Source organism: Homo sapiens, chromosome 6 (genome assembly GCF_000001405.40).
Source record: "Homo sapiens chromosome 6, GRCh38.p14 Primary Assembly".
NCBI lineage: Eukaryota > Metazoa > Chordata > Mammalia > Primates > Hominidae > Homo > Homo sapiens.
The window spans coordinates 37,423,772-37,442,166 of record NC_000006.12 but is presented as its reverse complement, the minus strand read 5'-3'; the positions used below and the strand labels follow the sequence as shown (position 1 = coordinate 37,442,166).

Sequence of the window (18,395 nt, the reverse complement as noted above, 5' to 3'; positions counted from 1 at the left end):
GCTACATATAATGGGGTACTGTGCAAAAGTAACAACCCTTAGAGAGCTTAAAAATCTAATAGATAAGGTTAATATGCATTTTCAAGGATACAACATTTTACAAAAGAAAGAAAAGACAGGTGAACATGTGTGAAAGAATAAACTTAAAACCAAAATTCTGGCTTCTAATAAGTTAGCAAGGATAAATTTTGGTTGAGAATGTCCCTGTATGAGAGGCACAAAATCTGCCCTTCCCTTTATGGTGGCTGTCCAATTCTCTTAATCGAGTTGACTTGCTTACATGAACCAATCTGGCAAACGTCACAGAGTGCCAGAGAGTGCCACTCAGAAAACCCAGACCACTAAGAATGAGTAACCATGGAAACTGAGAGGTGAACTGATATTTCTTTTGTTTTGCATTTTCCTGCATTTTCTGCATTTGTGAGACACAAGAATGTATTAGTTTGAAAATCAAGGTCCAGGCACGGTAGCTCACACCTGTAATCCCAACATTTGGGAGGCGAGGCGGGCGGATCACCTGAGGTCAGGAGTTCAAGACCAGCCTGACCCAAATGGAGAAACCCTGTCTCTACTAAAAATACAAAATTAGCCAGGCGTGGTGGCACATGCCTATAATCTCAGCTACTCGGGAGGCTGAGGTAGGAGATTCACTTGAACCCAGGAGGTGGAGATTGCGGTGAGCCGAGATCGAGCCATTGCACTCCAGCCTGGGCAACAAGAGCTAAACTCTGTCTCAAAAAAAAAAAGAAAAAGAAAATTAGGGTAAAAAAAGCTATAAATAAATAGATTAACACTCCAAGCCTTGGGAAGAGGTTGGTTCCTTTCCAGAGAAATCTTCCAAGAGCAGCAAATCTGAGGGGAAAGGCCTTCTAAATGGCTCAAGACCGTTCTAGGGCCTCTCATCTATTCTCCCATGCAGAGGAGAGAGATGCACTCTGCAACAGAGTGCCCACATGCTAAAGAACTGCACTTCCAAAGGTATGGATTCTCTTCACTCAGTTGCTTTCATGCCTTCAACCTGTACTACTTAATACAGAAACAGGTGGTACCAGGAATGTGGGCAGCTCCCTAAGCAGAGCCCTAAAGTTCCTCTTGGGCAGCCCAGGGATCCAGGGCCCTGACTAATCACAAGCTACAATGCTAAATCAGTTGCTACTCCTTTCACCAGCAATCTGGACATTCATAGGTCTACCTATGAAAAAGTCTGAAAACCCGGTATCCTTCTCAAAGGAGGGTATGCCCTTGCTCCAGCTCTAAAGAGTTGCCAGGCTGTTAGATTTGCCTGAGGGCCCAACAATGAGCACGGAGATAGTACAAATAACATTCCTGGGCACACAGGGTTCCTGCCACCCTAAGATCTCAAAGAGAGATCTTTTGTTTCCTTCTGTCTTCAGAATATCTCTGGGCAAAAATGACAGGGAGAACCAAATTTGAGTGGAAGGCTCACTAAGCAAATCAGTGGTGACTCTGGTGTAAAATTCCAGTACCAGACTTTGGCACAAAGATTTTTCCCTCCTACTCTTCCTCCCAAGGTGTTACCTAATGTACATTATCCTTTCCAGGTTCTAAGAGTGAGGTTAATGGGAGTAAAATATCACCCTACTAGGCAATTCCTTGTAAGATCAAGAAGTGTGCTAGATAAGCAAATAAGTCTTATTTTTTTCTTTTATTCACGTGGTATAGGAGACCACTTCTTAGCTTGACATGCTTTAAGCCAAAGTTCCCTAGATTATTCCTGATGTCCACAGACTGCCACAGCCACTACTTATTCTTACTCAGGGGCCTTTGAGGCTACTCTTTTCATATGAAAGGGAGACAATTGTCACGGCTGCAGCAGGAACTAAACAGGAGGCTTAGCTTCTCAAGACCGATAAAGAATTTAGCAAACATTGAGCAGATAATTTTGTAATGAGGTTGTAAATAGGAGTAATAAGGTCAGTCTATTAAACTCATTAGTTTCAATAAGAATTTGCCAAAGCTGGATGGCATTCCCATTTACCTCCTGGGGAGCTCCCCTCCTAAAACCTACCAGAGAGCCCAAAACAGTATGTACGGTTTTAAGATTTCTTCTCCACTTGATAGAAATCACTATTAAGTCATTACAAGGAAGAAAGATTCAACTTTACAGAGGAAACAGAGGTCTCCTGGCTGTTGGCAAAATTTTTCACATGGCAATACAGCAATGGGACAAACATGCCAAGATTAAAATTGGCAGTGACAAGCTGGGCACAGTGGCATGTGCCTGTAGTCCCAGCTACTTGGGAGGCTGAGGTAGGAAGATCACCTGAGCTCAAGAGTTCATGGCCAGTGTGGGCAACATAGTGAAACCCTGTCACTAAAAAAAGAAAAAGAATACATATACTATGTTTAAAAAATGACAGTGACAACAAAGAGGGGCAGCTCCAACCGCTAATGGCCAAGGTGGGCAGCACACAGATACAGAAAAATAAATTATGAATTTTAATAAACATCACATCCTGCTTAACGACTGTGGTGAAATAAACTCATTCCTACTTAAAGACTCAATTTCTCCTTCATGCCAGACAAATGGTAACTTGTTAGAGCAATTTAAACAGATACCGATAAAGGAAGCTTTTGATTAAGGTCATGAATCTGGGCTGACAGGAAAGCGATGGTGTTTCAGGGCAAATAGCCTATTTAGGAAAGAATTAAACCTGGTGGAGAGGAAGGCGCCTTTAATGTGATACTGGTGAAGGAGCCTGGCAACTTCCAAAGCAACTGGCTGCAGCAGGGCTAGGAGCCTACACCAGATGCACAGCTAAGGAGAGAAGGAATTTTCTTAGGGTCTAGACCATAGTTTTCCCGTGAAAAACAACCAAAGAGAACAAAATGACCTCATCTGCCTCTCCTTACTTCAAAAAGTTATTTGACAGCAAATTTGTAAGAATGTATTTACACTTGAAAATACCTTCAAACTCCTTTGAAAATACTCAAAAGATCACGATGCAACAGTGGCCATGACAACAACATCCCTTTTCTTCTTTACTCTGGCCAGATGTCAGTCTTTGACCTGGCAATGCAGCTACCATGTGAATAATGTAAAATAAACACACTGATTAAACTAAATAGATCTAATAATGAGTCATTACATTGATTTAGCAGAGGAGGAAAAAATAAGGTCCACACAGACAGAAATAGTAACTACTGTTTTGTTTTTCTAATTGTCCTCCCTAAAGAGCATTTTTCAATCATCTACCTGAACATTATGTTCAGGTAGAAGTGGCTGCAGTAAATGGAAACACCTCTGCTTTAATAGAATGATTTGAATAGGAAAGCTGCATATACATTTCAGGGGATATGTAGACAGCAAACCACCAGGGTATACTGTCCGGGGGACACCTAAGAGAATTAGATACAGAACATAGGTGATATAAATGCTAAGTACTTAATGAAATGATCTTCTGCAGACTGGAGGAGACAGGCAAAATGAAAACTGTGACGCATTTTAAGCTTCTTGGAAAAGATACTATTGTTGCCTTTTATCAGTTCTATTCAGTAACTATTTACTGAGCTTTTGCTCCAGGCTAGGCATGGTGGGAAAGAAGGCACAGGGAGCAGTCTTGCTGATAAAGATACTGCCCTCAGTTTCTGTGTCAATGCAGAGCTGCCCCTTCCTAAAATAAATTAACCTAGGGAAATCTAGAAATGTTGGTTTGCCTCTGCCTCCCATCTCATTTTCTGCAAATGAAAGGACGAAGTGGCCTCTTGCCAGACACATACAAGGAACTGGACACCTCTGGATTTCCATTCTTTTTTTTTTCTTTTTGAGATAGGGTCTTGTTCTGATGCCCAGGCTGGAGTGCAGTGGCATAATCTTGGCTCAGTGCAACCTCTACCTCCTAGGCTCAAGTGATCCTCCCACCTCAGTCTCCCGAGTAGCTGGGTCTACAGGTGCATGCCACCATGCCCAGCTAATATCTGTATTTTTTGCAGAGGTGGGTTTTCACCATGTTCCCCAGGCTGGTCTCAAACTCCTGGGCTCAAGCAATCCGCCCACCTTGACCTCCGAAAGTATTAGAATTACAGGCATAAGCCGCCATGCCCAGCCTGGATTTCCATTCTACACACACAACAGCAATAGTCAATCCTGACTGAGTCATATAGTACCACTTCCAGAGAAGGGGGAAGAGTAATCTCAATTCAGTCACAAAAGCTTGAAATTTAAATCAGAACGGTTTCCTTGAAGGATCCTTACCCTTATACACTTACCTTCTTTTACCTGGGACTTGTCCTTTCCTTACTTCAAAGAGATGTTACTTGAGAGCAAATGTCCCCCAAGATCCACTTAGAACCAGATATCACTTGTTCCCCAGACATACTCTCTCTTTTTCCCTTACAAGCCATCTCTCCCAATACCCCTACCCAAGGAGATTCTATCTTCACCAAGCTGCTCAAATTCCAGGTGAGAGGTAAAATTCCCTTTCCTCAAGAATCTCCAGAACCATCGCGTGCAGTAAGTTTTTGCCTTCTTACTCAGGAACTTCAATTCCTACCTACCCTGGAATCTACTGTGACTTTGAAGCAGAGGTGTCCAATCTTTTGGCGTCCTTGGGCCACACTGGAAGAATTGTCTTGGGCCACACATAAAATACACTAACAACAGCTGATGAGCTTTTTTTTTTTTTTTTTGAGACGGACTCTTGCTCCGTGTAGTGCAGTGGCACAATCTCGGCTCACTGCAAGCTCTGCCTCCCGGGTTCACGCCATTCTCCTGCCTCAGCCTCCCGAGTAGCTGGGAGTACAGGCGCCTGCCACCACGCCCGGCTACTTTTTTCTGTTTTTTAGTAGAGATGGGGTTTCACTGTGTTAGCCAGGATGGTCTCGATCTCCTGACCTCGTGATCCGCCCACCTTAGCCTCCCAAAGTGCCGGGATTACAACTGTGAGCCACCGCGCCTGGCCAGCTGATGAGCTTTAAAAAAAAAAAAAAAATCCCCCAAAAATCTCATAATGTTTTAAGAAAGTTTACAAATTTATGTTGGGTCCCATTCAAAGCAATCCTGGGCCACAGGTTGGACAAGCTTGCTTTAAAGGCGTGAACACCTCCACATACAAAGCTGCAACTGACTCTCTTATCTAGCCTGGACTACAGCGACACCGATGCTCCATTCGCTGTACCACCTGTCAAGCTTCTCTCTGGACCAGCTTCTCAGTAGCAGCTGATGAGTAACTGCCCTTCAATAAGCTTATCACTTGTGAATAAACTGTATTTCCTACTACCTTCAAAGGGTGCTTCACACCCTTTCAGTCACCAATCTGTTATGAAATTTCATTCCAGTTTCCCAGTGATCCAACAGAGGATCCAATATGCAAGCCTGCTGGTGTGCTGGGTTGAATATGGTATCCTCCCCAAAGCCTGTAAATGTGACCTAATTTGGAAATAGGGTCTTTCCAGATTACATCAAATGTAATACTAGATTACAGTGGGCCCTATCCAATGACCGATGTCCTTATAAGAAGAGGGAAATTTGGATACAGACACACACAGAGGAAAGGTAGAGGCAGAGATTGGAGTTATGCTACCACAAGCCAAGGAACACCAAGGAATGCTAGCAGCCAGCAGAAGCTAGAAGTGGTAAGGAAGGTCTTCCCAAGAGCCTTTGAGGGAACATGGCCCCACCAACACTTTGATTTTGGACTACTAGCCTCCAGAGCTGTGAGAGAATAAATGTCTGTTGTTTTGGGTCACCCAGTTTGTAGTAATTTGTTACAGTAGCCCTAAGAAACTAATACAGCTGGCAAGTCAAGGTAAATGCAAATTTACCTTGAGGTATTTGAGGCAAGCTCCCAGACATTTTACCATTCCTCAGAAAGCATCTATGGAAACTGTGAATAACCCTAAAAGACAGGCAAAGCAAAATGCTAGTTTCAACCAGATTAGTGAAATCTTCGACGCTTAATGCAAACAGTGAACGCAGCAATGCTCCAGTAGTTGGATACTTCTGACCACAACCGCTGAAGGAATTGAGAAAACGGTATGCATGCAAAAAAAGTGAAAATTAGGCTCGACGGCCGCAGCAAAGAGGCCCTCCCTTACAAAAGAGCCCCAGGATAATTAACAGCTATTAAGGGCACACAGCACTCAATGCTCACCACTACTTCTAACTGGTTTAAGGCAGCAAGAGTGCCACCTACTGAAGGACAACCAACAGAAAGCAACTTCTGGAAAAATTACCATTTTTTATTTAAAACAAGTTTCCCCACTCTTAGTAGGAGAATGGCAGAAGGGAAAAGAGTCTATAGCCAACATCTCTCTGTAGAGTATTCCTAATTTTCCTCAAGGGACCAAGGGGCAGTGGACTATAGTCTGCTCCACCTAGATTAGACACTGTGTGTTCAAATAACCAGATGGCCAGTGGCCTCAGACCACACAAGCACACGTACCTTTTGCTCCATGACTGACAGAGGAGGGAGGTTCATCATCGGACGTGGAGCTGAGGCTCAGGGCAAGCTCTGCAACTCTTTTTTTCTGTTTCTTGATGGGGGCAGTGCATTCTGGGTCAGTTCTCCTCTTCATCGTTAACTGTAACCATAAATCCAGTCAGTCAGCTGCCCTTGGGTCACAGCCACTGGGATCACAGCAGGGATTCCAAAGTGTAAATCATCAATGGGATGAGATTTGGCAATTCTACACATCTTCCAGTGCCAGCACTTGAATAGCCTCTTCCTCAGAATGAGGTCTAGGAAGGATGCTAGACAAGTGTTGGTTTTCAATAATAGCTGTTTTACTGGAAAATGTGGTGCTCACAGACTGAGAGAGCCCTGGGCCACTGGTGTCAGATAACAGAAAGTCATGGATCAACTCCACAAGCCACTGGGGGATAAAGCCTTGGTACCTGTAGTTATTCTACACTTTTGATGCAATATTGGCCATGCATGACAATGTACACTGAAAATGAACTATAAAACCGAATAAATATTAACCAATATTCCCAAGGTGAAGGGACCATCCCAGAATGACTGTTTCATCAGCATTATTTTACCAAAACAATTAAGAAATTACATAATATCATAAAAATACTGGTTTTGGTTTACTTCATAATGTTTGAAAACATGAAAGAATTGGGAAAGTTTTTAAGCAGAGTAGGGAATGGAAGCAGTGAAATGACTTAAGACCGAGGAAACACAAGAGCGGGAAAGTTATTGGGACTGGAGGTAGCTATACCACAGAACTCAGTTACGAAAACAACAATTTTAAGGACAGAAATCCACCTCCACAAAAAAGAGTGGAAACCAGCTGGGCGCGGTGGCTCACGCCTGTAATCCCAGCACTTTGGGAGAAAGAGGTGGGCGGATCACCTGAGGTCAGGAGTTCAAGACCAGCCTGGCCAACATGGTGAAACCCCATCTCTAGTAAAAAAAACACAAAAATTAGCCGGGTGGTGGCACATGCCTGTAGTCCCAGCTACTCAGGAGAACCGCTTGAATTGCTGAGGCGGAGGTTGCAGTGAGCCGAGATCACACCACTGCACTCCACCCTGGGCGACAGAGCAAGACTCCGTCTCAAAAAAACAAAAAAGAAAGAAACAGGCACCATGCCACCATCAATCATCCATCCCCATGGTTAGGTACATGAGAGATAAGCACGAGAAAAAAATAAGATGGAATGAAGTGATTATGAAACCCTGAAATCTTAACGAATTATCAAGTTAAAGAGCAAGCAAGAGAAGTAGTGAATACAGTGTGGCTTACACACAACTGATTGGCTGTAGAGAACTCAGAAAAGAGGACTCAATACAGGGTGGGCGACAAGCTGGGAAACAATCCTTAGGGAAGGCGAGGTACAGCAAGAAAGTATTGAAACCCAAAAGTGTCACTGATGCTCCCAACCTCGTAAAACCCTGGATCACATGTTTCAGTTCTCTCCAACTCAAGGAAGAGCCAATCAACCCAATGCACAACCGCCACCTTCCTGAGAAAGCAGCCTCTTACTAGATACAGGCAGGGGCTGTCCCAGGGAAGAACCGGAGACACTGAGCAAACAGAAAGCAAGACCAAGCTAAGCCACATTTCACTTTAAGCCGTAGTCTTAAATACCCCCAAAAGGCCCCCAGGGTGAGATAAAGGAAGGCTCATCACAGAGCTTGCTTCTAGCCATTGCAAGCGCTAAAAGCTTTTAATTCTTAAGTGACTCGGGGGGAGACTGGAAGTACAGCAAACTCAAAGCGGACTGTTGAACAGCTGTGTGAAAGGCAGGAGAGGCGGATGCTCCTCCCCAAACCACATCACCTTAGATTTGGGCCTTCCAAATCATCTCATCCAACCCTATCATCTTCCACGGGAAAAGACTGCGGCCACAGAGGTGAAGGCCACACAGCTAACCAGTGCCCTGCTCAAGTGACCCACACATGCCAGCAGAATGCTCTGGCAGGGAACTTCTAAGCGGAAGGCAAGCGGCCTGGTTCTACCTGCTGCTTCCGCACAGAAGGGGTTCAAATCCCCTCTGCAGTCTTCTCTCCCTGGGCCTCGGTTTGGCACTGCCACCCCTAATCACAGAGAGAAGAGATAAGCTCCCATGTCTCCCGGCCAGTCCCTTCATTTGAAGATAACATGAGCGTGTGAATGTGTGCGCAGAGACGTGTGTCAGCGGCAGCTCGGGCTCCAGGGAGCCGGCGTTGGGGGTGGGAGGAGGAGGGAAGACATAAGGGGCCAGAAGGCGAGGAGACCCATAACCGCGGGCGGGGGGCCCAGGCGGCGGTGGAGGGGAGAAGGATGCTGAGCCCGCGCGCCCGCCCGCTTGCTCCCCCCGGGCCGCGCGTCGGCACTCACGCTGAGGGGAGAGAGCGAGCTGCCGGGGAGCGGAGGGGGGGTCAGGCCGACACTGTCGCCGCCGCTGCCAGAGCCGCCGCCTCCTCCCTCAGTTTCGTTTCCCCACAAGCCAGCCCGGGTCCGCCAGCCGCACCGTCGCGCTCGGGTCCAGTACTGCGGGCAGCGCAGCCTGATGACGTCACGGACAGCGCCGCGCCTCGGTCCTCCCCCGGCCGGGTCCCGGCCCCGGGAAAGGCAGCTGAGGTTTGGCCCGCTCCACCTCTCAACCTGGGAGGTCCAGGGGCGCCTGCGCGGAAAAGCCGCCCGGAAAAGGCTGCAAAAGCAAAAGTAACTATCTCCTCCTTTGGCTCTGAGGAAGAGAAACCAATACAAAAATTGTAAGTGCTAGGTGCCCTCACACGACCTCATCTTACTTAATCTTATCATTATCTTCATTTTACAGACTAAGAACAAGTTCAGAGAGGTAGATGGTAAACTGGTTGAGCGAACGCAGTGTTCTTGTTCCCTGCTGTATCCCCAACATCCAGCCTATGGGACATCTCAACAGATTTTGAACGAAGGACGGGAGGACAGAAGGAATGCCGCCTGTAGCATCTTACCATATGGGCACAGTTGGCTCTCCATCTCAAACCTCTCTTCTGATTTTCAGGCCAATATGGCCAAACGTCTGTTGGACATCCTCACTCAGTCACCTCAAACCCCATGAATTCAAATTTCACCTTATGTTCTTCCATCAGCTCACTTTTTTCCTGGTGAAGGGCGCTGCCATCCATCCTGTTGGTCCAGCTAGAAATCTGAGGAATCTCCCTCTTCTTCATACCCCAAAGTTTCTCATACACTTAATTGCGCTTACCTCCTAATTGTCTTTCAAATCCATCCATTCACCCCCATCCCCATTGCCACAATTCATGCACTTACCCCCTCTCGGCAGAATTTCTCCAGTAACTCCAAACTCCCGTGACTGTCTCCAGTTGTGATCCCTCTAATGCGTTCTTCACAAAACCAAAGTGATTTTTATAATTTTCAACACCTGTGAAAAGAAGGGAATTTAAAATTGATTAATTAAACCTGATCCTGTCACAACCCAACAATGATTAAAATCCATCAATGATGTCCCATTGCTCTTAGAATAAAGCTAATGTCCTTAAAATGGCCTCTGAGACCCTCCAGCATGACCCCTTCTTCAGGTATGCCTTGTACTGCTATCCCTTAGTTCTCCCCATGCTGACTCTTCTCAGTTTATCAAATATGCCGTGTCTCCGCCGGGCGCGGTGGCTCACACCTGTAATCCCAGCACGTGGGGAGGCTGAGGCGGATGGATCACCTGAGGTCAGGAGTTCGAGACCAGCCTGGCCAACATGGTGAAATCCCGTCTCTACTGAAGATACAAAAAAAGTAGCTGGGTGTGGTGGTGCGCACCTATAGTCCCAGCTACTCAGTAGGGTAAGTCAGGAAAATCGCTTGAACCTGGGAAGCAGAGGTTGCAGTGAGCAGAGATTGCACCACTGCACTCCAGCCTGGGCGACAGAGCCAGACTCCATCTCAAAAACAGAACACAACAAAACAAAACATGCCATGTCTCTTAAGAGTTCAGCCCCCTGCCTGGATCATGCTTCTCCTCTTTGCTGGGCTAATGTCCATTTATCCCTCAGGAGTCACTTTAGTGTCCCTATCTCGAAATATTTCCTGATGTCACAAATCTAGGTTGGGAGACCCACCTCTGAGCTCCTAAAGCACTCTGTCCTTCCACTATCAAAGCACTTACCACGGTGTTGTATAATGGCCTGTGGACTCATCTGCCTCCCCGACTCAGCTGTAAACTCTGTACAGGAAAGATTGTCTGTCTGTATTAAATTCACAAGATTTAACAGAGGCTGGTGGTCAGTGCTCAATAGATATTTACTGAATCTGTGGAAGTGTGGAATATGAATGAAGGTTGAGTGATATGTTCAAGATTACAGAGCTAGGAAGCAGCAAACAGGTATTTACCTAGTTCTCTATGTTCTAAAGTTTAGTGTCCTTCTTTCCACCTCACTGAGGCTTCTTAGCATGCATTATGACATGAACACTTTTGGTAATCTTGTAGAGCTTATGGACCCATTCTCAAAATAATAATTTGAAGGGTATAAAATAAGGTATAGGAAATGAGTTATATTGAAAAAGTTAACATATTTAGCAAATTTAATGATTTAATTTTTATGTAAAGCATTAAATAATGAGAGAATGCATTCAAAATATAGTCAAGTTAAAGTTAAATTTTATTTTTTAATGTATATGAGTATACCCAATGAATAGTGCTGGAAAAAACAGATAAATATATAGGGAAACACGAACTTTGAATCTTTTTTTTTTTTTTTTTTTTTTTGAGACGGAGTCTTGCTCTGTCACCCAGGCTGGAGTGCAGTGGCACAATCTCCGCTCACTGCAAGCACCACCTCCAGGTTCACGCCATTCTCCTGCCTCAGCCTGCCGAGTAGCTGGGACTACAGGCGCCCGCCACCACGCCCGGCTAATTTTTTGTATTTTTAATAGAGATGGGGTTTCACCGTGTTAGCCAGGATGGTCTTGATCTCCTGACCTCGTGATCCGCCCACCTCAGCCTCCCAAAGGACTGGGATTACAGGCGTGAGCCAACGTGCTCGGCCCACTTTGATTCTTACTTTATGCCAAATGCAAATTAAGATACATCATAGACCTAAGCATAAAATCTAAAATGATAAAGCTTTTAACAGAAAACACAGGAAAATATTTTTGCAGACTTAGGGTAGACAAAGATTTTTTTTTACATGGGACCCAGGGAGCATTAATCGAAAGAAAAATAATGATAAAATGGAGTTCATCAAAATAAAAGGCTTCTACTCAACAAAAGACACCATTAAGACATTGAATAATCAAACCACAGAATGAGAGGAAAAGATTCACAATACATATATCTGACAAATGACTTATCTCTTATATATATATATACACACACACACATATATATATAAAATACCCAAGAATAAAAAGAAAAACAGAAATTTCCAATTCCTGTCAAAATGGAAACAGCACATTTCATTCTGTTTCTCCCACTGAATGTAATTTAAAACCTTAGACAGAATGCATGGAACAACTATCTGAGGATTCTGAAAAGTAAATGGTAAAGTATAAAGTAAATGGCAGGAATATGGAGAAAGGAAACCAGAAGTCAAAGAACTGTCAAATCAAGAGTGAGTTTCCCAATTTTTTTCCCCTTCGTTTTCTCCCAACTTGTACTAAAAGGCAACCGAAAATGCACATATTTTGCACAACAATGCGAATATAGTTAACACTGCTGAACTGTACACTGTTAAATTACATTTGGCTTAAATCTGCCTCCATACATAACATAATCTAATAATATGTAAACAAACTGTAACCTAACTTGAGAGTATATTCTTTTTTTTTTTTTATTATTTTTTGAGACAGAGTCTTGATCTGTCATCCAGGCTGGAGTGCAGTGGCACAATCTCAGCTCACTGCAACCTCCACCTCCCGGGTTCAAGCAATTCTCCTGCCTCAGCCTCCCAAGTAGCTGGGACTATAGGCACATGCCACCACGCCTGGCTAATTTATGTATTTTTAGTAGAGACTGGGTTTTACCATATTGGCCAGGCTGGTCTTGAACTCCTGACTTCGTGATCCACCTGCCTTGGCCTCCCGAGAGTATATTCTTGTAACAAGTATCTGAGTCTGGGCTAATCATAGCAGGTAAACTTTCAGTCAGTCATGGGGATGCAAACTGCCAAAACATGTCCAAATAAGGCAAATGCCAAACTGTAACCAATCAGATTATTTTTGTATGTCACTTCCTTTTTCTATCTATAAATACTGCATGCCTCCATTGGTAGGTAAAGCTCTCTGAAACTTTACTGGTTTGGGAGGCTTCCCAATTCATGAATTGATTCTTTTCTCAAATAATCTCTGCTAAACTTTATTTATGTAAAGTTTTTCTTTCAACAACACTTAAAAATGGTTAAGATGGTAAATTTTATGTTGTGTTTTTTACCATAATTTAAAGAATAGCCATTATAACCATAACCTAAAACACAGGAGTAAGACTCTTAAAAAATGAATAGAAAGATAGTGAGTCTCTGCAGAAAGAACCGAATGGAAATTTTAGAATTAAAAAGTACAGTAACAAAAACAAAAATTTCACTAGATAGGTTCAATAGCAGAATGATGATGATGGGGGTGGAGGAAGCCACTAAACTTGAAGATAGATCAATGAAAAGTATCAAACGTGAAAAACAAATGGGAAAAAAAAGTGAATACAGCCTCAGGGACCCAGGGAACAATACCAGACGATCCAATACTTATGTCATCAGAGTCCCTACAAAGAAAAGGAGGTAGAAAAAAATATTTGGCGCTAAAAAATATTTGAAGAAATAATGGTTAAACACTTCCAAACAATGGCAAAAGGCATGAATTTACAGACTCAAAAAGCTCAGAATTTCCCAAACAGTAAATGCCCAAAGAAATCCACTTCCAAATGCATCATAACCAAACTGCTGGAAACTAAAGCCAAATAAACTATGTTAAAAACAGCCAGAGAAAGTTGTCAAAATCAAAATGGAGTCACTCATGTTTAAAACTCTGACAGGCCAGGCACAGTGGCTCATGCCTGTAATCCCAGCACTTTGGGAGGCCAAGGCAGGTGGATTACCTGAGGTTGGGAGCTCAAGACATGCCTGGCCAACATGGTGAAACGCCGTCTCTACTAAAAATACAAAAATTAGCCAGGCGCAGTGGCACACATCTGTAATCCCAGCTACTCAGGAGGCTGAGGCAGGAGAATCGCTTGAATCCGGGAGGTGGAGGTTGGAGTAAGCAGAGATCACACCACTGCACTCCAGTCTGGGTGACAGAGTGAGACTCCATCTCAAAAAAACAAAACAAAACAAAAAAACAAAACTCTGACAAACAGAGCCAGGGAACCCACGAAGGGAGGGTTCTCATGCATAAATGCCTGATAACAACAACTATCACAAAAGGCTCTGCAAAAATCACAATCTTCCACAAAAGTCGTCACAACCTAACAACAACAACACAACATACTTCTGCAAGGACCATCTGCCTAACTGCCTGTCCAAACTTGCAATGACACCACCCTTGTTATTAAGGATCCTTGTAGTGAAGGATAATTGTCTCAAAACATTTATGTAATCCTCCTCATTTTTCCTAAAAAATTTTTGGTCTTCCTTTACCTGTCTGAATACACACATTATTTACTGTGGCAGCTGTACTCCCATTGCAATGCTTATTCCTGAATAAACACAGCGTCTTTTTTAGAGAGTTTCTCTCTCTCTCTCTCTCTCTCTCTCTCTCTCTCTCTCTCTCTCTCTCTCTCTGTCTCTGTTGCTTAGGTTGACAAAACTATGTATCACATTTAGGGGAAAAACAATTAGAATGACTATGGATCTTACATCAGAAACCATGGAGGCCAAAAAAGTAGTGACACGAAACATTTCAAGTCCAGAAAGAAAAGAACAGTCAACGTGGAATTCTATATCCAGTAGAAATATCCTTCAAGAATGAAAGCAAACTAAAGAGATTCTCAGATGAAGAAAAACTAAGAGAATTCATCACCAGCCACACTTTGTAAAATAAAGCCTAAAGGAAGTTATTCAGCCTGAAAAGAAATGATAGCAGAGTAAAACTGGAAATGTCAGGAATGAAGGAAAAGCAATAAAAGTGGTAAATAGCTAGGTAGATATATAATAGGCTATTTTTCTCCTTTTAAGCTCTTACAAATATACCTGATGATTAAAAGCAAAACATATAACATTGTCTGATAAAGTTGCCAGTGTGTGTAAATGTAACACATATGATAACTACTACATAAATGGGGAAGGGTGAAGGGATCTATAAGGCAGGAAGCTTTCTACAGTCCACTGAAAGTGGTAAAATATTAATTCTAAATACACTGTGAAAGTTATGCTGGAATTGTCCTTTTTGGAAAGGTGAAGTAAGGACCTCTGAAATATAATCTTCCATAAAAATAATGAGAATACTAGCAAAATTGTCAAAATTGGGTGGAGAGGATTCTGGGAAGATGGCAGAGTAGGAAGCACCGGGAATATGGCTTCTCACCTAGACAAAAATTGTGCTGGCGGAATCCGTCTGATGTAACTATTATGGGACTCCGGAGTCTAATAAGGGCTGCAACATCCAGAAGAAGGCAAGGATGGTAAATTGTGGTTAATTTTAGTTCATTTCAGCTCTTAGCACAGCAGCAGTTACTCATCCACCACCACTCAGCCATATGGCAGACAGCGGTGCACATGTTCCTGCAGCAGCTTACAAACAGCTTGTGGGAGCCAGGGTAGGCAAAGAGGACTTTGTCCTCTGATTATGGGGGATCCATGCCCTGATCTCTCATTCCCGCTTCTTATCACAGAGGTATAAACAAAGCAGGGAAAGCCATTTTTGTTGCAACTTTCCCCATTTGTTTCAAGCCTCTTGCCCTCTGGTTGAAGTGACTCCTGGAGATTTAAAGGGCTGGTGACCTTTTTATTCCCTCCTTTCATTTTTGCTTTTTCTCCTTTTGGGAGCCAGACATTAAAGACTAGGACATTAAAAAATGACTACGTATATGGAGCAAATTAGAAAGTGACTGAGCCTGCCCAGGGAAAGTTTTAAAAAAGATCTGAGGAAAATTGGCCACGTGTGGTGGTGCATGCTTGTAATCCCAGCTACTTGGGAAGCTGAGGTGGGAGGATAGCTTGAACCTGGGAGACAGAGGTTGCAGTGAGCCAAGATTGCGTTACTGCACTCCAGCCTGGGTGACAGAGTGAGACTGCATCTCAGAAAAAAAAAAAGACCTGAGGAGACCTTAACTCTATACCTCAGGCTCATCCTTGGCACAGAGACAACCTGCACTACTCAAAAAATAAAAATTGAAAAATAAAAACAAATACAAAAAACAGCAAGTCCTGGGGAAGGTGAAGAATTGGCTTTCTGGAGTTACCATCTTAGATGCATATGTCCAATTTCCAACAAAAATTCATAAGGCATACAAAGAAACAGAAAAGTGTGTCACATTCAAAAGAAAAAATAAATCAACAGAAAATGTCCCTGAAAAAGACGTGATGGCAGATCTACTAGACAAAGACTTAAAAAAAAGTCTTAAGATGCTCAAAGAACTAAAGGAAGATGTGGAGAAAGTGAAGAAAACAATGTATAAACAAATTGGAAATATCAACAAAGAGATGAAAACCCTAAAAAGAAACAAGAAAAAATTCTGGAGCTGAAAAGTACAATAATCAAAATAAAATATACTCACTAGAAGTATTCAAAGTTGGATTTGAGCAGCTAGAAGAAAAAAGTAGTGAACCTGAAGATAGGACAATGTTAATTATTGAGTCTAAGGAACAAAAATAAAAAAGACAACAAAACAAACAGAGTCTAAGGGGCCTCTGGGACACCACGGAGCAGACCAACATATGCATTGTGGGAGTGTCAGAGGGGCAGAGAGAATATTTGAAGAAATAATGACTGAAAGCTTCCCAAAATTGATGAATATAAAGATTCAAATTTGATGAATATAAAGATTCAAGAAGCTTAACAAACTCCAAATAAAATGAACTCAAAGATATGCATATCAAGACACATTACAATCAACTTTAGAAAGACAAAGAGAGAATCTTGAAAGCAGCAAGAAAGAAGCAATCTTCACATACAAATGACCACCAATAAATTAACAGCAGAGTTTTCATCAAAAACTCTGGAGGCCAGAAAGCAGTGGGCCAATATATTCAAGAATATATTGCTAAAACGTGGTGGCTCATGCCTGTAATCCCAGCACTTTGGGAGCCCAAGGTGGATCACAAAGTCAGGAGTTCAAGACCAGCCTGGCCAACATGGTACAACCCCGTCTCTACTAAAAATACAAAAAAATTAGCCAGGCGTGGCACGTGCCTGTAATCCCAGCTACTCAGGAGGCTGAGGCACGAGAATTGTTTGAACTCGGGAGGTGGAGGTTACAGTGGACTGAGATCGCACCACTGCACTCCAGCCTGGGTGACAGAGCAAGACTTTGTCTCGGGGAAAAAAAAAAAGAAAGAATTTATTGCTAAAAGAAAAAAAAAATCAATCAAGAATTCTATATCCAGAAAAACTGTCCCTCAAAAGTGAGGGAAAAATTTCCCAGCACTTTGGGAGGCCAAGGCGGGCGGATCATGAAGTCAGGAGTTCGAGACCAGCCTGGCCAACATGGTGAAATCCCATCTCTACTAAAAATACAAAAATTAGCTGGGTGGTGGGTGCCTGTAATCCCAGCTACTCTGGAGGCTGAGGCAGGAGAATTGCTTGAACCTGGGAGGCAGAGGTTGCAGTGAGCTGAGATTGCGCCACTGCACTCCAGCCTGGGCGACAAGAGCAAAACTCCATCTCAAAAAAAAAAAAAAAAAAAAAGTGAGGGAAAAATTAAGACATTCCCAGATAAACAAAAGCTGAGAGAGTTTGTTACCACTGAATCTGCCCTTCAAGAAATGCTCAAGGAAGTCCCACAGGGTGAAATAAAAGGACACCAGAAAATAACTTGATGCCATATGAAAAAAATAAAGATAACAGTAAAGGTAAATACATGGACAATTATAAAAGCTAGCATTATTGCAACTAAGGTTTGTAATGCCACTTTTTATTTTTTATATGATGTGAGAGATGGCTACATTAAAAAAAACAATTATTAGCGTAAAACCCAGTATTATTTTAACTTTGGTTTGCAACTCTGTATTTTGTTTTCTGTATAATTTAGGAGACTAATGTATTTTTAAAATATTAGTGATACAGGAATTAAGACAAAGGTACTAGGCCGGGCGCGGTGGCTCACACCTGTAATCCCAGCACTTTGGGAGGCCGAGGTGGGCGGATCACGAGGTCAGGAGATCCAGACCATCCTGGCTAACACGGCGAAACCCGTCTCTACTAAAAATACAAAAAAAAAAAATTAACCAGGCGAGGTGGCGGGCGCCTGTAGTCCCACCTACTCGGGAGGCTGAGGCAGGAGAATGTCATGAACCCAGGAGGCGCAGCTTGCAGTGAGCTGAGATCCCACCACTGCACTCCAGCCTGGGCGACAAAGGGAGACTCCATCTCAAAAAAAAAAAAAGAAAGAAAAAGGTACTTAGGCAGATAGTGAGGGTACGGGAGTCCTCAGTAAGGTTTTCCTTTTAATGAAAAGCAGCCCCCAAATCATTTTCTTTTCTAACAAAGAGCAGCCTGTAAAATCGAGCTGCAGACATAGAAAACCAAGCTAGAAGCTTGCACGGGTGAATGCCGGCAGTTGTGCCAATAAAAAAAAGGCTACCTGTGACTAGGCATGATCAAAATGGTGGGTCGTCTTCTCTTCTCTTTGCCAGCAACGTGTACAGTAAGGAGCAGACAAGATGGCACTGTCCAAGTGGAAAGTCCATTTACATAATAAGATTAGGGTGGGGCAACCAGCCTTCCCCACATGCTATGTAAATGTCACACCTGGTTGAACCAATCTGTGAGCCCTATGTAAATCAGACACTGCCTCCTCAAGCCTGCCTATAAAAATCTGCTGCATTCTGCCGCAGGCCACCTTTTCCCTTTTGGACACCT

General features: G+C 43.2%; 1 protein-coding gene and 1 long non-coding RNA gene across 4 annotated transcripts in view, besides 3 other annotated features; one reads left to right on the top strand and one right to left on the bottom strand.

The window, feature by feature from the left end:
* CMTR1 (cap methyltransferase 1) overlaps positions 1 to 18,182 on the bottom strand; it is a 57,524-nt gene extending 39,342 nt beyond the window's left edge. Inside the window, exons 1-4 of one of the 3 annotated variants that reach the window (XM_047418463.1) lie at positions 18,118 to 18,182; positions 10,555 to 10,611; positions 9,708 to 9,819; positions 6,405 to 6,543 (exon numbers count right to left, since the gene is read on the bottom strand). In XM_047418463.1, coding sequence (XP_047274419.1) covers positions 6,405 to 6,537 — 133 coding nt within the window. In that variant the 5' untranslated portion in view covers positions 6,538 to 6,543; positions 9,708 to 9,819; positions 10,555 to 10,611; positions 18,118 to 18,182. Of the gene's footprint in view, positions 1 to 6,404; positions 6,544 to 8,789; positions 8,947 to 9,707; positions 9,820 to 10,554; positions 10,612 to 18,117 lie in introns of those variants that run through there. The other 2 variants (XM_047418462.1, NM_015050.3) reach the window with 2 other exon arrangements.
* Positions 8,601 to 8,790: a silencer, noted in NCBI's record as "silent region_17140". NCBI's record gives its function as "represses an Ori minimal core promoter by ATAC-STARR-seq in GM12878 lymphoblastoid cells {active_cell/tissue: GM12878}" and the evidence as "EXISTENCE:reporter gene assay evidence [ECO:0000049][PMID:35858748]".
* Positions 8,763 to 9,264: an enhancer, noted in NCBI's record as "H3K27ac hESC enhancer chr6:37400679-37401180 (GRCh37/hg19 assembly coordinates)". NCBI's record gives its function as "activates a minimal SCP1, AML or CMV promoter by ChIP-STARR-seq in naive H9 embryonic stem cells {active_cell/tissue: H9 hESC(naive)}" and the evidence as "EXISTENCE:reporter gene assay evidence [ECO:0000049][PMID:30033119]".
* Positions 8,791 to 9,070: an enhancer, noted in NCBI's record as "active region_24458". NCBI's record gives its function as "activates an Ori minimal core promoter by ATAC-STARR-seq in GM12878 lymphoblastoid cells {active_cell/tissue: GM12878}" and the evidence as "EXISTENCE:reporter gene assay evidence [ECO:0000049][PMID:35858748]".
* On the top strand, positions 8,944 to 9,939 carry LOC107986531 (uncharacterized). Its single transcript, NR_171666.1, has 2 exons — positions 8,944 to 9,116; positions 9,232 to 9,939. It is a non-coding gene; the product is annotated as an uncharacterized LOC107986531 (long non-coding RNA).
* Positions 18,183 to 18,395: the final 213 nt, after the last annotated feature.